General features: G+C 40.6%; 1 protein-coding gene and 1 pseudogene across 9 annotated transcripts in view, besides 3 other annotated features; one reads left to right on the top strand and one right to left on the bottom strand.

Moving 5' to 3' along the window:
• The window catches only part of KLHL8 (kelch like family member 8), an 80,429-nt gene that overhangs the window by 11,592 nt on the left and 46,703 nt on the right, over positions 1–22,134 (top strand). For 4 of the 9 annotated variants that reach the window (NR_120447.2, NM_001292007.2, NM_001292006.2 and 1 more), the window contains exon 1: positions 8,322–8,522. The gene's annotated coding sequence lies outside the window, so the exon portion shown is untranslated. Of the gene's footprint in view, positions 1–7,549; positions 8,103–8,321; positions 8,523–8,671; positions 8,906–10,752; positions 10,847–22,134 lie in introns of those variants that run through there. The other 5 variants (XM_047416014.1, XM_047416012.1, XM_047416011.1 and 2 more) reach the window with 4 other exon arrangements.
• Positions 8,103–8,592: a silencer, noted in NCBI's record as "silent region_15557". NCBI's record gives its function as "represses an Ori minimal core promoter by ATAC-STARR-seq in GM12878 lymphoblastoid cells {active_cell/tissue: GM12878}" and the evidence as "EXISTENCE:reporter gene assay evidence [ECO:0000049][PMID:35858748]".
• Positions 8,708–9,320: an enhancer, noted in NCBI's record as "H3K27ac hESC enhancer chr4:88140772-88141384 (GRCh37/hg19 assembly coordinates)". NCBI's record gives its function as "activates a minimal SCP1, AML or CMV promoter by ChIP-STARR-seq in naive H9 embryonic stem cells {active_cell/tissue: H9 hESC(naive)}" and the evidence as "EXISTENCE:reporter gene assay evidence [ECO:0000049][PMID:30033119]".
• Positions 8,933–9,202: a silencer, noted in NCBI's record as "silent region_15556". NCBI's record gives its function as "represses an Ori minimal core promoter by ATAC-STARR-seq in GM12878 lymphoblastoid cells {active_cell/tissue: GM12878}" and the evidence as "EXISTENCE:reporter gene assay evidence [ECO:0000049][PMID:35858748]".
• On the bottom strand, positions 20,650–21,920 carry GAPDHP60 (glyceraldehyde-3-phosphate dehydrogenase pseudogene 60; annotated as a pseudogene).

Genomic DNA, 22,134 nt, shown 5'->3' with positions numbered 1-22,134 from the left:
CTTCTTTCTGTACCATCTGTGCAAAGATTATGGGTACATGGGTGGTAGATTGTGGCTTCATGACTGGTAGCAACCATTTAGGGGAAGAAATTACATCATCTACAAAAGGTTGCAATATAACCTCCAAGTATTATCTTTAAGTTTCCATGAAAAATGGTCAAAGTCCAGGGAAGTAAATTCACATACCCTGTCTGATTATTCAACCCTAGTTTATCTCTCAGTTGGTGGTTTTCATCTGCTGATCTCTTTATGACTCCTGACTTTTGTACCTTCTTTCTCCACTGACCCAGTAAAAGAATAGGCTTAAATTGCTGATAAAAAAGTAAAGAAAGCCTGAAAGGCTGGGCAGGCCACTTGGCAATTTGGGAGTAGCCATGTTTGTTCCAGTGCAAATATTATCCTTTTCTCAACTGGAACTTCCAAAGCCTCCAGGTCTTTAGTGAGACTGTTTTGGTAGAAGCCACCAATCAAGTATAATACGGTTATGCAATCCAATATTAACCACCCAAAGTTAGTGCCAACTCCACAGGTTAAGGGCATAGTCCCTGAGAAAACTGTCTTTGCTTCAGATGCAAGCAGCAAGTTTGGGAGTCCTCAGACCACCGTCACCTCTGAACCAATGGCTACAAATTCAGGGGTTCCCATGGCCCCCATAGGTTCAATAATTCATTAGAATGACTCACAGAACACAGGAAAGCACTATATATATAACAGCTGTGTTATAATGTTAATAGATACAAATCAGTATCAGCCAAATGAAGAGAAACATTGGGTGAGATCTGAGAGGGTCCCACACGCAGAACTTCCATGTCCTTTCCTCATAGAGTCAGGAGGTGTTGCCCTCCTGACACATCAATGTGTTCACCAACCAGGAAGTTCCACCAAGCTTTGGAATCCAGAGGGTTTTTTTGAGTTTCATTTATGTGGGCATGATTGATTGAATCACTGGCTCTGTGACTGAACCCAAACTCCAGCCTCCTACCCTCCTCAGGGATCAGGAGATCAGGCTGATATCAAATGGCAGAGAATATACAGGGTTGCATAATTTACTGTAATGTAATACACATGCACCTCTGTATGCTCTTAAATCAGGGTTAGGTCTGGCTATATAAAACCAAAAGCCCTGACACAGTGGCTTAAGCAAGATAAAAGCTTATTTTCATTGCACAAAGGGAGGCAATCCTGGACTAAAATGATGGTTTAATGGTCATCAGGGACTCAGGCTCCTTCTGTCATTCATCCAGCATCCTATACATGACTTCCAAAGACAAATAACTTAGTTATTTATTTAGACACGAGGTCTGGATTTGTTGCTCCAGCTGGACTGCATGGCATGATCATAGCTCACTGCAACCTCCAACTACTGGGCTCAAGGGATCCTCCCACCTCAGCCTCCCAGATAGCTGGGACTATAGGTACATACCAACACCACTGGCTAATTTTTTTCTTTCTTTTTAATTTTAGTAGAGACACAGTCTTGCTGTGTTCTCCAGGCTGGTCTCGAACTCCTGGACTCAAGCTTCCTTTGTCTGGGCCTCCCAAAGTGCTGAGATTGCAGGCATGAACCGTGGTGCCCCGTCTCCAGTGTCAAATAACTCTATGGTCCAAGATGGCTACTAAAACTCAAGCCATCGCTTCCAGGAAGAAAGAAAAACGAGAGAGATACTTTAAAACTGGATTAGTTTCCTTTAAGCAGCCATCCCCAAAGTCCTGTGCAATAGTTGCACTTTTAGCTGGGCTTTCAGCCATCCTGCTAACAATATTGGAGTTCTCCTTCTAAAGAAGAAGGCAAAAAGATGCTGCTTAAGCAGCTAGTAGGGTCTGCCATGTTGCATTTATTTTCATATCAAAAAATAAACTTTTCAGATTGACTCTATTATGAGAATGTGAAGATGATATCAGAAAGGAAATATAATATATATTATTTATATATAATATATATTATTTATATATTATATATTATTTATATATAATATATATTACTTATATATAATATATATTATTTATATATAATATATATATTATTTATATATTATATATTATTTATATATAATATATATTATTTATATATAATATATATTATTTATATATAATATATATATTATTTATAAATAATATATATTATATATAATATATATTATATATAATATATATTATATATATAATATATATTATATATAAATAATATATATTATATATAAATAATATATATTATATATAAATAATATATATTATATATAAATAATATATATATTATATATAAATAATATATATTATATATAAGTAATATATATATTATTTATATAAGTAATATATATTATTTATATAAATAATATATATATTATTTATATATATAGAGAGAGAGAGAGAGCGAGAGAGAGACAGAGTCTTGCTCTGTTGCCCAGGCTGGAATGCAGTGGCGCGATCTCAGCTCACTGCAACCTCCGCCTCCTGGATTCACGCAACTCTTCTGCCTCAGCCCCCAAGTAGCTGGGACTACAGGCGTGCACCGCCATGCCCGGCTAATTTTTGTATTTTTAGTAGAGACAGGGTTTCACCATGTTGGCTAGGCTGGTCTTGAACTCCTGACCTCAACTGATCCACCCACCTTGGCTTCCCAAAGTGCTGGGATTACAGGCGTGAGCCATCGCGCCTGGCCTAATATAGAGCTATATCTTAATGAAAGAAGTACTTTTCACAGACATCGTACATTTGGAATACAAATTGCAATGGAAACACAATTACATTTGTTTCACTGTGCCAATTTCTACCATACATATGGATACAATTTTGCTCAGAAGTATGTGGCACATGTTTCAAAAATAGTTACTGAAAATCAAAGTTTCTCTAAATGTGTTTTTTTCTGGTAACTAAAGTCACAGTTCTTGAATGTGGTAGGGATGGAGGCAAATTGCTCTCATTCTGTCATTTCTCATATTGCTCCGGAGAGAATTCCACAGTTCCCCCACATATTCAGCCTGAGAATTCAACCCTATCTAGGCAGGTTCATGGGAAATGGAAACTGATTAGACTTGGGTATGATGGAGTAATAAAAATAAAATGCTAAAAATGAAAACAAAACAAAAAAACAACAACACCCGCATTTCAAAAGTCACCAGCACTAGTAATTTTCAAAAGAAATGATTTAGAGCACCAACAGAACTAGCAGTGGTCATAGCAAGGATGATGCTTTCTGTTTTAGCTTCACCCACAGACCCACCCCCAAACTACCTAAAATAGATATTCAGTGGAAACAATAACTGTGTGCCTGTAAAGATATCTTCAAGTAATGTCCTCTAACCCAGAGCTGCACCCCTACTCCTTTCATTCCAAGTTTTAACTCAAATTCTGTCTTATATAGATATTTTGGAGCCACCAGTGAGACTTGACTATTGTCCTTTAGGAAGCAACAGAGACCTTATGGCCCCAAACCCTAAAATATTTACTGCCTGGCCCTTGGCAGGAAGTAGTTACCGAATGGTTGTTTACTGAGCAAAGTTGATATGCATCCATTTATAGTCCAAGTATTTATTAAGCATCTATACATCAAGTACTATGCTGTTATTTTCTATTTAAGGAGATTTCAGACAAATGAAAGATATAGACAACTTCTTAAAATGCTCACTAAGTGCTACTTTAGGGGCAAAAATAAGTTGTAAGATGAGCATATATAGGAGGCAGTAACCCAAAACTGGAGAGGGGGGACTGTAACCAAGAAAGGTTTCCTAATTAAAAAGTTTTCTAAGTTAATACTAGATGATTAGAAAGAGTTCACCAGGCAAAGGGGTAGAAGGAACAGCAATTACAAAGACCCACAGAAAAATTGGGAACTTTAAATATTTCAGGGATGCTGGGTGCTGTGACTTGAGCCTTGTAATCCCAGCCACTCCGAAGGCTAAGGCGGGAAGCTAAGGCAGGAGGATCCCTCGAGGCCAGGAGTTCAAGACCAGCCGTGGCAACATAGCAAAATCCCCCCATCCCCGCACCCCACCAAACTCCACCCCATCCATCTCTTTAACAAAATAAAAACAAAAACAAAACAACAATATATATCAGAGAAATATATCAGAAAATGGTCAGCAAAGGTTTAGAGATACCTATGTCAGGCTGATTGCATGGTAGTGGATGGAAGAACTGTCATTAATTTATTAAAACAGCACAAGTTGAGCCACCAGCCTAAGGTCAGAAAACATAGCCATCCACATGTGTGTCTTAGGATAAAAGGCGGGAAATGATTGTTGAGGGAAGCTGAAGTGCCACAGTAAAGGCTGGTTTTGTAGGAGGGTGACAGGATAGGAGTCAAAGGATTGGGATGAAATGTAACTGCAAGCCAGTAACCCTGACCTGGACAGGAAGATAGTGGTCTTGCTGGCGGTGTTCAGGCTCTTTAAGTACGTTTCCATAGACAAAGAACCTTAGCAACTCTTCTGGGACCTGCTCTCTGGTTGCAAGCTTTGCCTCCCTAGCAAATGAAGATAAAATAACCTTCTTCATTAATCTTTCCAAATCCCTCGGCAAGCCACATCTGAAATTCTTTCCCTGCTCCCCGACTCCTTTAAGAGAAAGAAAAATTGTCTGGCTCTGTCATCCAGGGAATGAGCCACCATATCCAGCCCACATCTGAAATTCTTTTGATGGTTATAAAGCCTTTTATCCCAGGATTAAAGATAAAGACTTAAAATGCAAATGTTGGCCGGCGCGGTGGCTCATGCTTGTAATCCCAGCACTTTGGGAGGCCGAAACCCAGCTACTCAGGAGGCTGAGGCAGGAGAATCACTTGAACCTGGGAGACGGAGGTTGCAGTAAGCCAAGATCGTGCCATTGCACTCCAGCCTGGGTAACAAGGCGAGACTCCATCTCAAATTTAAAAAAAAAAAATGCAAATGTTGATTGGGGTTAAAATATTGCAATTTTTTTCTGACTAAAGTACAATCATAAAATGAACAAACAGCTATCAGATCCTTTCCAGTTTTAATTTATCGGACTTTGAGGGAAGGGAAGGAATTTCTTAGATCCTTACTTATTATAGGCTAGTCTTGCTTATTCTCAAATGGAGCTAGGGAGGAATGGGTAAAAACTAAGAAGACATTTCGTCCGATTTAGGAAATGTGTGTTTTGTTTTAGTTGAGGTATGTCTTATTTTGTAAGATACTGTATATATTTTTAAGTAATTATTTGAGAGCATTGTTACAGATATATCACTTTTTAGGGAAAGATTTTTTTTGCCCCAGTTTATAGCTATTTGGTTTAAAAATTTCATTTAATTTTCAGAATTTTTGCCAGACTCCTCTGCCCCAATAAAAGGCTCTAGATTAGGTGTATCTTAGGTGCTCCCCAAACCCCTGGCCACCCCATGCATACCTTTTCATTATTCACTGTTTAATTCTCTGTCTCCGAGTCTAGATCCTAAGTCTCCATGAGAGCAGGGACTATTCAATTTTGTCTACTGCGTATTTCCCAGTTCCTAGCTCAGTGTCTGGTGCTCAAAAAATGTTCTTCGATAAATAGATGATAATAATATTGAAATATTGTGTATATTTCTTTGATTTGTTAGTAACTACAAATAGTTTATTGTGTATATGTCAATTAGCAGAAGAAAAAGAGCAGTTGTGCTCTTTTTTATAAGCATTTTTAGGAGTTACTGTGCACCTTATTACAAGAAAAGTGGCCAGGAATGGTGGCTTACACCTGTAATCCCAGCACTTTGGGAGGCCAAGAAAGGCAGATCCCTTGTGACCAGGAGTTTGACAACCAGCCTGGGCAACATGGAGAAACCCCATCTCTACAAAACAAAACAAAACAAAACAAAACAAACAAAAAAATTAGCCAGGTGTGGTGGTGTGGGCCTGTAATTCCAGCTACTCGGGAGGTGGGAGAATCACCTGAGCCGGGGAAATCAAGATTACAGTGAGCCATGATTGTGCTACTCACTGCACTCTAGCCTAGGCAACAGAGTGAGACTCTGTCTCTAAAATAAAATAAATAAAATAAAATAAAAGCTTAGGCTATAAAAAACAAAATTTCTATTAACATGGTCTTACTAAATACATATTGTAGGCCGGGCGTGGTGGCTCATGCCTGTAATCCCAGCACTTTGGGAGGCTGAGGCGAGTGGATCACTTGAGGTCAGGTGTTCGAGACCAGCCTGGCCAACATGGTAAAACCCTGTCTCTACTAAAAATGCAAAAATTAGCCGGGCGTGGTGGCAGACACCTGTAATCCCAACTATTGCAGAGGCTGAGGCAGGAGAATCACTTGAACCTGGGAGGTGGAGGTTGCAGTGAGCTGAGATTGTGCCACTGCACTCCAGCCTGGGCGACAAGAGCAAAACTCCGTCTCAAAAAAATAAAATAAAATAAATAAATAAATAAAATACATATTGTGTTTTATGTTTAATAAAGGGAATACAGGGAAGCTTTCCCTTTTCCCTTGGAAGGTTCACTGAAAAATCAACTGTCAAATGGCAGACTAATAGGAAAAAAGACATACAAAATTTATTTTAATGTGCATAACACAGGGAGATTTCAGGAGAATGATTACCCAATGACTCAATGGGGTAGAGACGTTTATATACTCTTCTTTATGGGGGAAAGGGAGATTGGGGAAATGTGGCAACTTAAGGTATAGTAAAGGACTTTTAGGGGAAAATGGGGAACATACAATGGCCTGGGAAAAAGTGTGTTGAGCCCATACAGCAGACAATAGTTTGTGACAAAAGTCTGTCCAAGAGTGTTGACAGACTTCAGTCTTTCTTCCTCCAATATGAGTTAAGTAAATGAAAAATCAGGTAAGGCAAATATGTTCCTCTTTGGCAGGTCTAGTTTCTAGGCAGATAAGGGAAATTCAGAGAACGACATCATTTGGTGCTTTGGGAGAGACAAAGAATTGAGAGGCAGGAGGGGTAATGGGGAAGGTAAGAGACACCTTGAAGCTGCTTCCTCAGTTCAGCGCGGCAAAGCACCATATTTTGGGGTATCGATTTCTGAGTCCCAACAATTTTTACATCACGTTCCAGACACATTTTATGACTTTTCTTCACTGCATACTTCTTTAAAACTCATCTTACTCTATTTTTCTAAAGGTATTTGCATTAAATGTGCAAAATACTAATGCTCTAAAGAGGAATATTTTGAAATATTAAGAATTATTTATATTTCAATGTAAAAAATGTGATTTTTTTTCTAGAAATAAAATTTCAAATTCAAATAGTTGCTTTGGGGTTTTTATAGAAGATGCATATATATATACAGATATATATATGTTCATTTCTATTAAAATCAATGTGCTAATGTTCATATGTGTTAATATTAATAAAGGTCCTAGGATTAAATTTATTCTGAAATAGACTCCTAGGATTGTGAAAGTTTGAGGTTAGTCTGGCAAAAGACACATTTAGGGGAATATCTTTCTTTAAAAAAAATTTTGTTTTTTTGCTGTCTCTTGATCTCCCGCCTCACACATTCCACTTTATTGACATTATAGAAAAATTAATTCATTTCAACAGCACTTTTACTTGCATTGCTTTTTTTTTTTTTTTTTTTTTTTTTAGACGGAGTCTTGCTCTGTCGCCAGGCTGGAGTGCAATGGCACAATCTCAGCTCACTGCAACCTCCGACTCCCGGGTTCAAGCAATTCTCCTGCCTCAGCCTTGCGAATAGCTGGGATTGGTGGCACGCACAACCACGCCCAGCTAATTTTTGTATTTTTAGTACAGACGGAGTTTCACCATGTTGGCCAGGATGGTCTCGACTCCTGACCTCGTGATGCGCCCGCCTCAGCCTCCCAAAGTGCTGGGATTACAGGCGTGAGCCACCGCGCATGGCCACTTGCACTGCTTTTTAGCAGCGAGCTCTCAGGTCAATCAACTGCTTCCTTAGGTTTACAAACTGTGGGTGTGTATTTATAAACACAGTTGTTTTGTATATCCTTTGTAGAGCACGTGGTGAAAGTGACACAGGAATAAATGCAAACCTTTTTTTCCCCTTCTTTTTTCAAAGACATAAATCCCAGGAACACTCACAACCGCAGAAGGGGATTTGATGGACATACAAAGAAACTAAATTTTGTACCGCCGCAGAAGTGAAGCATGGATAAGCTCAAAGGTATTTAGGCAGTGTTTTATTTCAAGATTTGTTATGGGGACCTCCGCCACGCCCTGGTCCGCCTTCACCAGGCCGGGCAACACTGCCCAGTCCCTGAGACCCGGCCGCCCACTAGGGAGCCGCGGGGGCGAGGCCGTGGGGGTGGCCTCGGGGAGGAGGTCCCGAGAACCACACTTCCCAGAGTGCCGTGCGCAGCCCCGCCCAGCCCGCCCCGCCCCCAGAGGCCGCGGCTCGCGGGGGCTGAGGCGAGAGGACGCCAAGCGCCCGCCGGGGCTCCGCGGGGCCGCGCAGGAGAGCGCGCGTCCGCCGGGTGCTCGCGCGGGGTTGGTGAGGTTCCGCTGAGGGCGGCCGGGGCTCTGGGAGCGTGGTAACGTGGCTGCAACCTTAGCGACATCAGGAAGAACAGGGTCGAGGATCGAGGTAACGGGACGCTCGTCTCCCCTCAGTCCCCTCGTCTCCCCTCAGTCCCCTCTTCCTTTGTGCGGTGCCGTCCGCTCGCGCCGAGCCCTCCCTCACCCCAGCCCCCAAGTCGCAACACCGTCCCGTCTTGGGTCTCCGGTGTGCGGAGGAAATTCGAGCCCTCGTGCACCAACCGAAACTCCACAGCTGAGAGGGCTTGGGGCCCGGACAGCAGGAGATCCAGCCCCTGAGCAACCTTCCACGGCTTTTGTCGCCCCCATTGGCGGGAGGAGCAGGGTTATGCTCCCGGCTCCCGTAGGGGAGCTCCAGCCTCTGGCTCTGTCAGCCTCCCCGGCAGCTCCTTGACTCCTTCCTCCCAGTCTTTCGAAGAGGGGCCCAGGCAGGTGCTTCGCGGGGTCCAGGAAGAGGGCAGGCGCGGTGCGGCTGGCGCGGGTTCGGGGCCCCGGGAGGGCGGCCGGACGCCCCCTGGAGCCGCGGCCTGCGGGGGCGGGGCGAGTGGGCCACCTCCGGGCCACGCCGCGCGGGGACGAGGCGAGGAAGGCACTGCCTGTCCCCACTCGGGGGGCTTGCTGGCCGCCCTGGAGGTGCCTTCCCGGGAGCGGCGGTGTAGACCTTGTGGAGAGTGCCTCCTGATGTGGAACCAGGAACCGCAGCCTCTTTCTAGACGCTCAGCCGCCCGGTGGAGTTGTTACCGCCACGATGACAGCTCTTTACGCCTTCCACTCCGTGCTGGGTTCAGTTGGCTTGCTGTTTTCTTCAGAGAGAGCGATTTGGCTACATAGCTTGAATTTTCTACGTGTCTCGTGCTTTACTGGACTTGCACTGTTTTTCCCTCTTGGCAGTGTTTAATCGGGTGACTTTTCATAGAAAACGTTCAGTATTTTCATCTGTGTTAATGGCATAACTTTCTTCTTGACTCTGCCCTAAGCTAATGTTACCAGTTTAGAGGGATACTTTGGGAAAAGGTCCTTAGAACCTGGGTTGACATAAGTATTTTATCTGCTGGTTGCACGTTTTTTCCTTTGCATTGTTTTTCTCCTATACAAGATGGTAATTGTTGGACTCTTGGTGTTCTTTATTCTCTCTCTAGAAGGAAATCCTCTTCGCGCATCTTTCTCGTGTTCTGGCCCTGCGGTACTCTTGGGTACGCAGAGGACTGCTGCTAACAGTGCTGGCGCCTGGAACGCTGCTTGGAGATGGCGGTGGCATTAAGCTGCTGCTTTTCCTCAGACTTCCTCCTGGCACCCTTCTTAATTTGTCAAACTGACCCAGTTCAAACTTCAAACTTTTAGTCACTTTATTTATTTCGTCACTTTTTAAAAAAATTGCTTTCAAGATACCAAAATTGCGTAAGCCTAAATATAAAAAGAGGTGTCTCAGGGGCCGGGTGCAGTGGCTCACGCCTGTAATCCCAGCACTTTGGGAGATTGAGGCGGGGGGATCACTTGAGGTCAGGATTTTCGAGACCAGTCTGGCCAACATGGTGAAACCCCATCTCTACTAAAAATAACAAAAATTAGCTGAGCGTGGTGGCACATGCCTGTAGTCTCAGCTACTCGAGAGGCTAAGACAGGAGAATGGCTTGAACCCGGGAGGCGGAGGTTGCAGTGAACCGAGATCATGCCACTGCGCTCCAGCCTGGGCGACAGAGTGAGACTCCATCTCAAAAAAAGAAAAAAAAAGTCTAAGGATACTCTATTCAACTACATATGAGCACTTAGCTTCATCATTTTAATTTTTAAAGCTGCCAATTCTTTTAGCATTTGATAAGATTACTGATAATTGGTTAAGATGATATATTCTGTAATAATTGCACATTTTTTGACAAGAAACTCAGTTCACATTCAGTGAGGGTTATTTTTTAAAAACAGTATTTCTTCATTCATTAAGAAGAAAGTTAGGGCCGGGCGCGGTGGCTCACGCCTGTAATCCCAACACTTTGGGAGGCCGAGGCGGGCGGATCAAGAGGTCAGGAGATCAAGACCATCCTGGCCAACATGGTGAAACCCCATCTCTACTAAAAATACAAAAAAATTAGCTGGGCATGGTGGCGCATGCCTGTAGTCCCAGAGACACGAGAATCACTTGAACCTGGGAGGTGGAAGTGAGCTGAGATCACGCAGCTGCACTCCAGCCTGGCAATAGAACGAGACTCCATCTAAAAAAAAAAAAAAAGTTGGGTAAATTTTGATCCCACCTGCTATTTTGAAAAATGAATTTTCTTTTTTAGAGCAGTTGTAAGTTCACAACAAAACTGAGTGGAAGGTATAGAGATTTCCCATGTATCGCCTACCCCTACAGAGCCAAAATCTCTCATCAGAGTGGTACGTATATTACAATTGATGAACCTACATTGACATGTTATCACATCCACAGTTAGGATTCATTCTTGGTGTTAAACATTCTGTGGGTTTGGACAAATAACCCTTTTGTTTTTATCAAGAACTTTTGAGAGTTGTAGAGAACTGAAATGGATATTGTCATTTTAAAAAGATTAAAGAGACTATTGCAGACATCTTAAACATTAATTTCAGATAGTTTTTGTGTTTTATAAATTGAATGTTTAAATTTTTGGTTACTTATATTGGAATTCCCAAGAGTCACATTTATTTTTGTATATTAAGAACTAAAGGGCCCCACATGGTAGCTCACACCTGTAACTGCAATTTGGGAGGTCAAGGCAGGAGGATTGCTTGAGCCCAGGAGTTTGAGACCATCCTGGGCAACAAAGTGAGACCTTTCTCTATATTCCAAAAAAAAAAAAAAAAAAGAGGCCAGGCTCGGTGGCTCATGCTTGTAATCCTAGCACTTTCAGAAGCCAAAGCAGGCCAATTGCTTGATCCCAGGAGTTCCAGACCAGCCTGAACAACACGGCGAAACCCTGTGTCTACAAAAAAACAAACAAACGAACAAAAATTACCCAGATGTGGTGGTGTGCACCTGTGGTCCCAGCTACTCGGGAGACTGAGGTGGGAGGATCACCTGAGTCCAGGGAGGTCAAGGCTGCAGTGAGCCATGATTGCATCACTGCACTCCAGCCTGGGTGACAGAGTGAGACCCTATTTCCCCCCACCCCCAAAAAAAGCAAGAGATGAGGGAGGATAAATGTTTCATAAAATAACAAAATGTTGTTTTCAGTCGCTAAAATTCACTTGACTATGTCTTTTTTTTTTTTCTGAACAAAATGGTTTATATTAGCCAAAGAAACAAGAGGGAGTTGAGCATTTTAAATAAATTAATTTTTGTTTACTCATGTCAAGATATGTCTGCAATAAAAATGTCACCCATTAGTCTATTTTTAAAAATTCTGTTTTCTCTGTTTTGAGGAGCTTTTATGGAAGCACCAGACTATAATATTGTTCTGAGCTCACTTCTGGTACTACACAATTCTCTATTAGAATCCCAGATCTCCACTTATTGGCTGTGTGAGCATGGCAAGTAATTTTCTAAACCTCTTTCCTTAGCTGTGGAAGGGGGATAAAAATAATACGTACTTCTATTTTACCAGAATTGAGGATTATTTGGTGTTGTATGTGAAAACATTCTCTAAGCTATAATCAACTATAATATTCATTGATATTACTAGTCACATGCTGTATTTTAAAATGCTGCCAGTACAATTTATTTTCTGGTGGATATTGCTATATAGATACTGTCAGCTGCTTTTTTTTTAAATGGGTTGGTCATGCAAGAAAGTATATTGTTTGGTTTGGTTATGAATGATTTAGTTGGTTCTTATGAGTCAGAGAGAGAATTATGGAAGAGGGTTGGAGGGACCTTGGGAAATTTTCTACTTCATCTCTCTGACTCTTAACCTGAATCTGTTAGCGTGAGCATAAATGGTCTTCCAAGGGTCTGTGAACTCTGTATATTTATACTTTTCTGGGGAGAAATTAAATGAAAATTTATACTTTTCTGGGGAAAAATTAAATTAAAAGAGCATCATGACCTTGTTCCCACTAAAGGTTTAGGAAACCACTAGCTTCAATGATCTAGGCAGGTTTCTTTAGTAAAAATGTTAGAGATTATTTTTAAAATTAGTTTTTTGTGGAAAGGAAAGAGAAACAGGTTATATTGCGGAAAGGAAAGAGAACAGGCTATTTTTGAAGCACTGAGTATCTGTTTTTCTTCCAAAGCTAGAAGTTGATATTTATGATACACTACCTTCATATGAATAATAGTGCTGCTACTTCTACCTGGAAGTGGTACCTTTGATTGATTCATTATCATTAGGCAGGTATTGTCTACTCCTCTCTTCTTCCCCACCCCCAGCCTTGATGGGCAATACAGTGGAGGCAGAGAATGGGACTTTAATACAATCCAGCATGTCAGAATATTATTTAAAATGCCAAAAGATAATTTGGCTTGTTTATTCTAAATTTGGATGTTCTTTGTTTTCACAACAAAACACCCAATGTTAAAGAAAATTAAGTGTTTAATCTTTCAAACTAGATGATGATATATACATAATCTGTTGTATGATATTTCTTGTATATCATAGAGTATAAAATTTTATTAAATCCTAATTGATGATCACTTTGACTTTTAGTACTGCTAGTTTGAAAAGATGGATATGTATGTTTTCAAGAAATTTACAGTTTGCTTTTGTAGATTATATTATAATTTGTGATTTTCATTTATAACATTTAAAACTTATTTGCTTTTTTTGAATTTCTGAATCGGACATACTTTTAAATCTGAGTTTATTCTTATAAGAATAAGCGTTTGGAATTTTGCCCTGTTTTCCTTGTATAATGATTGCTGGGCTATAAGGCTTTACAGTGTAAAACCAAGTTCTGTTCTGGATCAGTTACTAGTAGCATTCCCAAGGCTGGGAGAGTATGAGGTGGATCAAGTGATGCTAAACAAACTTGTGAATGAATCTGTCCATCAAGTAATGTCTTTTTCCTTGAGATCTTTTTTTCCTTTGATATTAATATTTTCATTTAAAGTTGAAATGTTTTTCAAAGTTCAAGGTTCTAAACCAATATTTGGGAATTTATAGAATAAAGTAGCAGAAGTGTGGTTCTTTGTAAAAATAGTCTGAGAAGTCTGAAATAGACCTCAAAGATTAGTAGTAGAGATGAATGCCAATATTGCAGCATACTTTATATATAAAAGATAAGTCACTACGTTGGATCTTTAGTTATTTTAATGCAGAGGATTGCTTAACTTTAATAATGAAAGTTTGAATTAAATTAATTAGATATGGAAAACAAAAGGGAATAATTTCAGCAAAAATTTTACCTATGGGAATCCAATCATTTTAAGATCAGTGATTTGTATGGCTTCTCCTACACTTAAACCTTAAAAAATTCTGGCCGAGCGGGGTGGCTCACGCCTATAATTCCAGCACCGTGGGAGGCCGAGGCAGGTGGATCACTTGAGGCCAAGAGTTCCAGACCAGCCTGGTCAACATGATGAAACCCTCTCTCTACTAAAAATACAAAAATTATCTGGGCATGGTGGTGCACAGTTGTAATCCCAGCTACTTGAGAGGCGGAGGCTGGAGGATCATGTGAACCCAGGAGGAGGAGGCTGCAGTGAGCTGAGATTGTGCCACTGCACTCCAGCCTGGGTGACAAAGCAAGACTCCATCTCAAAGAAAAAACAAAACCAAAAAAAAACCTTTAAAAATTCCTGAAACATTTCCTGTATAGGGAGAATATTATTAATACCACTATTTTGGTTCTCATTGTCATTTACACATAGGCACCTCCATACAGAGATAACATTAATTCTGTCTTTGGCCTAGTGATAAGAGCTTGGGCTTTGTAGTCAGGCAAGTCTCTATTGAATCCTCGACATTGCACTTCATAGCTATGAGACCTTGGTTAGGTGTCTTAACTTCTCTGGGCCTCATTATCCAAAACTGCAAAAAAATAGGAATTTTACCTCTTTGAGTTATCCCAAGGATTGAAATGAATACATGTAAGTATTTAACTCATGATGACAATTATATATATATATATATATATATATATATATATATATATATATATCTGTTATGTGCCAGTTTGTTAACTCATTTAAGTTTTATAGCAATCCTATGAGGTTGATACTATTATTTTCCTCATTTTTACAGATGAGGAAACTAAAGCTAATGAAACGTTATGTAACTTAACCAATATCATACAATGAATATACAACTAATAAGTAGATAGAAGCACCCAATTAATGCTTGCTGTTGTCATTAAAAAAAAAAAGATGACTTAGGGTATTACCATCTTTTCTATAGTGGGTTCCTAATAATTGCAATCTCATGTAGAGCATTATAAAGCATATTTTATTTCTTTGCTGGAAAAAATGTTGATTGCAGGACTGTGTTCCTGACCAAGGACTCAGGATCACATAATTTATAAAAGTAATAACATCTGTTTATTGAATCTTACTATGTACTAGATACAGAGCTAAATACTTTATATAAATTACTTCACTTACCCATCACAACAACCTTAGAGCTGAGGCTCAGAGTAATTTTAAGTAACTTGCCCGAGGCTGCACAATTAACACAGAATCCCAAAACTGTCTAGCTCTAAAGTGTCTGCTGCTAACCGCCAGTTTATGTGCCTTGTGTCGCGTATGGCTGACAGATATCTCTCAAAAGCAAGGCAACAGCTTCTATAATTTTAAATAGCAAAATGTGCTACTGTAATTTTGAACCAGAAGGAAACTGATTACCTACTGCCTGTAGGCTAAACCAAGCTTGCTGCCTGTTTTTGTAAACAAAGTTTTATTGGAACACAGCCATGCTGTGTTCTTTTAAAAATAAAGACATTGAGACACAGAGAGATTAGGTAACTTCCCAGTAATGTAGCTAGTAGTAATCTAATGTCAGTAACTATGTTAATAAGCCTCTGAAAGTCTGCCAATCCCTGAATCCCATGCTACCCCCTAAACTCTATGTAAGCTCAGCAATGTGCTCTATTCAGAGGGACCGTGCCTGGATGGCATAGCTATCCCTTCAGTAAGTAGTAAATTCAGCTTTGTGCTTTTCGTTTGGTTTCAAACATCCAGTGTGAAATATTCCATACTTTGATACTTGGCAACAAATTATTGATAAATTAATTTTTTAGTAGGCATTGTTATCTTAAGTACAACCCTGTCACTTCTCTGACATTCTCAAATAAAAATAATGAGTAATATAGGCCCCTGTTAAGGTTCATGCATGTAGTTCGCATATTTAGGTAAAATTCAAGATCTTTCTTTTAATACTTTATACTAGACTTTTAGACCACTATGATTGTGATAAACTAAGTGGCCCAGTTCAAACAAGGAAATGATTACTGTAAGGTGTCAAAGGAATTCCTTTTTAATAAAACAGATCCCAAAATAAACATCTTACAAAGTATTCAGTGTAGTGAAAATGTTGTTTATAGACCCTAGAAATGACATTAGTATTTAACAAGCAGGCTTTGATAATAGTAGTATCTAATATTGCGTGTGTCATTTAAGGATGGGGATACACTCTTAAGAAACATGTTAATAGGCAATTTTGCCATTGTGCAAACGTCATAGAGTATACTTACACAAACCTAGGTGGTATAGCCTACTACACACCTAGGCTCTGTGGTGTAGCCTGTTGCTCCTGGGTTACAAACCTATACAGCATGTAGTAACATGCTGAATAATATAGTCAATACTGTAACACAGTGGTTACCTATTCGTGTGTCTAAACAGAAAAGGTACAGCAAAAATAAAGTGTTATAATCTTATGAGACTATCATCTATGCATTGGTCACCATCATCATCTATTGTGGACCAGAACACTGATATGCAGCACATGACTGTAAAGACTGTAAATGCTATTGTTAAGAAAATTTTTTTTTTTCTTTTTGAGATAAGGTCTCACTGTGTCGCTTAGGCTGGAGTCCACTGGCAAGATCATGGCTCACTACAGCCTTGACCTCCCTGGGCTCAGATGATCCTCCTACCTCAGTCCCCTGAGTAGCTGGGACTACAAGTGCAAGCCACCTCACCTGGCTAATTTTTTGATCTTTTGTCGAGACTGGCTCTCACTATGTTGCTCAGGCTGGTCTTGAACTCCTGGTAGGCTCAAGCAGTCCTCCCAGCTCATTGGTAACTGGTTGTTTTTAGCTTTTCAGTTTTCAAAAAAAAATTACTAGGTTGTATAACTCACAGCCTAAGTCATCAAGATATTTCTTAAAAGGTGGAACTGTTACATGAGAGGGCACGTAAATTAAAAAGATTTTGGATATCTTAGCTAAATGGAGCCTAGGAAGGCTTATATGAACAGCAGTGTGAGAGTGTTTATTTCCTGACAGCCCTACCAATTTTATTTTTTGTCTTTGGCAATATTTAATTTCATTGATTAATAAGGATTTTTAAATATTCTCATTGATCATTTTCCCTTTCATTAAATCTACCTTTTTTCTATACGTAAGGACAGTTTTCAGCAGACAGTGTTGCTGTACTACTAACTGAAGGCCATGTTATTGTTGGTCTTTACTCAGTTATTGTTCAAGAACACATCTGTCTAAAAGAGGACTCTGACATCGAGCTGTTGCAGGCATCTAATTCACACTTAAGTTTAACTATGACTTTGACTTCAGCACCAGTGACCTCTCTAATCAGTCTTTCCAGTAACCTACTAGATCTCTCCATTGGGTCTCCTATCAGTGTTGAATTTCAGCACGCCCTGACTTCCAGTTAGGAAATTATTCTTTCCAACTCAGTGATCTCGGCTCATTGCAACCTCCATCTCCCAGGCTCAAGTAGCTGGGACCACAGGCATGTGCCACTATGCCTGGCTAATTTTTGTATTTTTTGTAGAGATGGGGTTTTGCTTTGTTGTCCAGGCTGGTCTCAAACTCCTGGGCTCAAGTGATCTGCCTGCCTTGGCCTCCCAAAGTGCTGGGATTACAGGCTTGAGCCACTGTGCCTGGCCAAGAAAAACATTTTTTTAAAGTCACGGCAGTAATTTGTTGGAAGTCATGTATACTTTGAGTAGGAACTATTGAAGCTATTATACAGTTTTTCAAACCAGCAGATTCTCGTTTAATGATTGGTATATTTTGGACTGTTTGATTCAAAATTTTAAATGTAAATAAAAAGGAAATAATGAGTATAGCCTACTTTTTTCCTGACTTAAAAGTAAAAATGGAAATTTTAAGAAGAGTATTACCTTTGAAATAAAGTGATTCAAAAATTGAAGTAAATGTCTTATGCACAGTGTTACTTTAGTTAAAATTATTTAAGCATACATTAATTTGGATTATAGTAGAAAAATAATCTCTAGTGTTCATAATCTGTTCATCCATTATAAAAATATTTTAAGTACTTCTGTTTGTTTATTGTGTTATATGTGTTTACTGAACATGGGAGTAATAGCAGTGAAGAGAGACGGTGCCTATACTTTAGGGGCTTATGTAGTGTTACAGGGAAGACTAGTAGTGAATAGGCACTTATAAGTATTAAGTATTTTGAATTTGACCAAAAATTGAATAGGGTATACTTTGTGATAAGTATAATGAAAAAAATATCAGACTTTTGTGGGAGCACAGAGGAAGTACACTAGGAATAGGAAGATGTTTTGGGATGGCCTTCCTGAGCAGATGAACCTGGGCTGATCTTAGAAGATGAGCAAGAGTTAGCAGGAGAGAGGGGTGGTAAAGGGCATTTCAGAAAGAGCAGAAAGCCTGAAAGGAGGCAGAGAGGTGTGAAATAGCCTAAAGTATGTGGAAAATTAAACACATTCAGGTTTTGCTCTATGGAACATGGGGTGGGGTTTGCCATTTTGTTATTTCACAAGTATGCAAGAATTGATTTTGGTAAATGCACACACGTCTTCCATCAACTTTCAGGGGTAGCTCTAAAATTAATCACATACTGCTATAAAATATAATCTTTTGTATCCAAAATCTTCATCTAACTGAATTGTAAAATAACTTCTTTAATTATTATTATTATTATTATTGAGATGGAGTCTCGCTCTGTCGCCCAGGCTGGAGTGCAGTGGTGTGAACTTGGCTCACTGCAAGCTCTGCCTGCCAGGTTCACACCATTCTCCTGCCTCAGCCTCCCGAGTAGCTGGGACTACAGGCGCCCGCCACCATGCCTGGCTAAGTTTTTTGTGTTTTTTTTAGTAGAGACGGTTTCACCGTGTTAGCCGATGGTCTCGATCTCCTGACCTCGTGATCCGCCCGCCTCGGCCTCCCAAAGTGCTGGGATTACAGGCGTGAGCCACTGCAACCAGCTGGCATTGAGTTCTTTAAGAGGTGCTTTCAAAGTGCCATTTGGGGCTGGGCGTAGTGGCTCATGCCTGTAATCCCAGCACTTTGGTAGTCCGAAGCCGGCAGATTGCTGGAGCTCACGAGTTCACCACCAGCCTGGGAAACATGGCAAAACCCCATCTCTACAAAAAATACAAAAATTAGCCCGGTGTGGAGGTGTGTGCCTGTATGTAGTCCCAGCTACTCAGAAGGCTGAGGTGGGAGGATGGCTTGAGCCCGGAAGTCAGAGATTGCAGTAAGCCAAGATTGCGCCACTGCACTCCAGCTTGGGCCAATAGAGCCAGGCCTTGCCTCAAAAAAAAAAAAAAAAAAAAAACCCAAAACGGAACACCAAGTGCCATTTGGAGTTCCTCTTTCTGTTTAGTAGTCTTTTGATTAATGTGTAGTATGAAAACACAGTCACTGTGCTGCAAAGAGTTATGAGGATAATACAGTGTAAAGTGAGTTAGTACAGTATTCAGCGTAATGGTATTACATATTAATATCACATGCTAAATGTGATAGAAATTATAAGTACAAAGGAAGCTAGAGAACGAGAATAAGGTGGTCTGGCTTAGCACAATAGTATCTTTAAGCTTTTGCTATCAGTCCTGTTTTCTGTAATTCATTGGAAATAATGTTTACTTATAAAAATATATTAGTTTTGTTACATATGCTCTGCGTTGAACTATAAACCTGTCTGCTTCTGTTTGAAGTATTTTCTCTTCATAACTTCCTATTTTGTTGATCGATATGCCTTTACTGGCACTTAGAGGAGCAAAAAAAAAGGAATCAGCTTTCTGTCTGCTTCATTGTCATAATATGCCAACATGTGATAGAAATGGACATCTGTAGCATGTTATGACAATGATGTGCCACGGATGTCCATTTTTTTCCTCTCTGTTGTTTTGTGCTTTTAATCTTTTAATATATTTGAGGAAGGAGGAATATCATTTATTTTTCTCCCTAAAAATCAGAATCTTAGGCATATTTTTAAAAAAATTCTGATTGTTTTAAATTCTGGAGTGTAGGTTGAATTACATATTTACTTGATACTAATATACGGACTTTATAAGTCCTAACGTCTACTGAGTTTCTTAGGCAGAGTGAATAGTCTTTGAGTAAGTACTCTTTTCCTGCTTCTGTCTTCCTGTTCTATTATATATAATAGATTTTTTAAAGTTGAGGACATTGCATTATTTAAACAGACCATTTTAAGAGAATTTGGTATAGACAGCTTTTGAGCTGTTGTGTCCTATCCAAATCTGAATTCAAATGTAAAAATAATTTTATAAAAGTGAATATTTATTAAAGCCCTTTTCATAGAAATAGTACGCTGACAAATGAAAACATTTTGTGACAACAATAATAAAACTTTCACTAGATAGAGCTAGAGTAGTTTGATGTAAGGGGGAAAAGTATATGGTCATTTTGAACTGTATGCATTTTAACTTAGTAAAGTTTAAAAATAAGATATTAGTGATACCTGCTGTCATAATACTCATATAGGACACAAAATATGGCATGACAAAATAAGTGAAAGAAGACTCCTGGGCGCAGTGGCTCAGGCCTGTAGTCCCCGCATTTTGGGAGGCCCAGGGGGGAAGATGGCCTGAGTCCAGGAGTTCAAGACCAGCCTGGGCAACATGGCAAAACCCCATCTCTACAAAAAATACAAAAATTGGCCCAGCATGGTGGTTGCATGCCTGTAGGATTGCTGGAGCCTGGGAGGTCAAGGCTGTGATAAGCCGAGATTGTGCCACTGCACTGTAGCCTGGGTGGCAGAGTGAGACCCTGCCTCAAAAAAAAAAAAAAAGAAAAAAAGAAGAAGAAGACAACTCACTAGACTAACAAGAGTTGACCAAGGTTTGTTTGTTTGTTTGTTTGTTTGTTTTTGGCTAAGCATAGGGGACTTTATTAATGGTACATGACAAGGTGGGGCTCCTGGGCCCCTCCCTCTTCAGGAGTTCTACATGGAAAGTGAGGAGGGGAGATTCTCAGTGTAGTGGGGGACTGAGTGTGGCAGGGACTCCCCAGCAGTGACGACCTCTCTCTTCCTCTCATGCTCTCTCTGGGGCTGGTGGTCTGGTGGTCTTCCTTTTGGAGGCCATGTGGGCCATGAGGTCCACGACCTTGTTGCTGTAGCCAAATTCATCGCTATACCAAGAAATGATCTTGACAAAGTGGTTGTTGAGGGCAATGCCAGCCCTAACATTGAAGGTGGAAGAGTGCGTGTTGCTGTTGAAGTTGGAGGAGACAGCCTGGTGCTCAGTGTAGCCCAGGATGCCCTTGAGGGGGCCCTCCGATGTCTGCTTCACCACCTTCTTGATGTCATCATATTTGGCAGGTTTTTCCAGATGGCAGGTCAGGTTAATGACCGACACCTTGGCAGTGGTGACACAGAAGGCCATGCCAGTGAGCTTCCCATTCAGCTCAGAGAGGGCCTTTCCCACAGCCTTGGCAGCACCAGTAGAGGCAGGGATGATGTTCTGGAGAGCCCTGCAGCTGTCACGCCACAGTTTCCCAGAGGGGCCATCCACAGTCTTCTGGGTGGCAGTGATGGCATGGACTGTAGTCATGAGTCCTTCCACGATACCAAAGTTGTCATGGATGACATTGGCCAGGGGCGCTAAGCAGTTGGTGGTGCAGAAGGCATTGCTGATGATCTTGAGGCTGTTGTCATACTTCTCATGGTTCATGCCCATCACTAACATGGGGGCGTCAACAAAGTGGGGAGAGATGATGACCCTTTTGGCTCCTTCCTGCAAGTGAGCTCCAGCCTTCTCCATGGGGGTGAAAACACCAGTGGACTCCACAACGTACTCAGCGTCAGCATTGCCCCATTTGATTTTGGAGGGATCTCGCTCCTGGAAGATGGTAATGGGATTTCCACTGATGACAAGCTTCCCATTCTCAGCCTTTACGGTGCATGGAATTTGCCATAGGTAAAATCCTACTGGAACATGTAGACCATGTAGTTGAGGTCAATGAAGCGGTCATTGATGGCGACAATATCCACTTTTCCAGAGTTAAAAGCAACCCTGGTGACCAGGCATCCAATACGACCAAATCCGTTGACTCCGGCCATCACCTTCACTACCTCAGCGATGCAGCTGGCAATGCATGAGAAGATGCAGCTGTGTGTCAAATGGGAGGAGCAGAGAGCCAAGTTGACCCAGTTTTTTTCATTGGGGGAAAAAACCCAACCCATAGAGATCGTGTTAATTCAGTCACTCATGACTCCGGCTCATTGTCGGCAAATACATAGATATTGTTAAGACACAGTCTTCAAAAAAGAGTAGACTGTGTTAAGCAGGCAAGTCTAAAATACAAAAGAAAAAAAGTGAACGAGTTGGAGAAATACAGCGTACTATGGGGGT

Source organism: Homo sapiens, chromosome 4, assembly GCF_000001405.40.
Source record: "Homo sapiens chromosome 4, GRCh38.p14 Primary Assembly".
Classification (NCBI taxonomy): Eukaryota; Metazoa; Chordata; class Mammalia; order Primates; family Hominidae; genus Homo; species Homo sapiens.
This window is presented reverse-complemented; position numbering and strand designations above follow the sequence as displayed.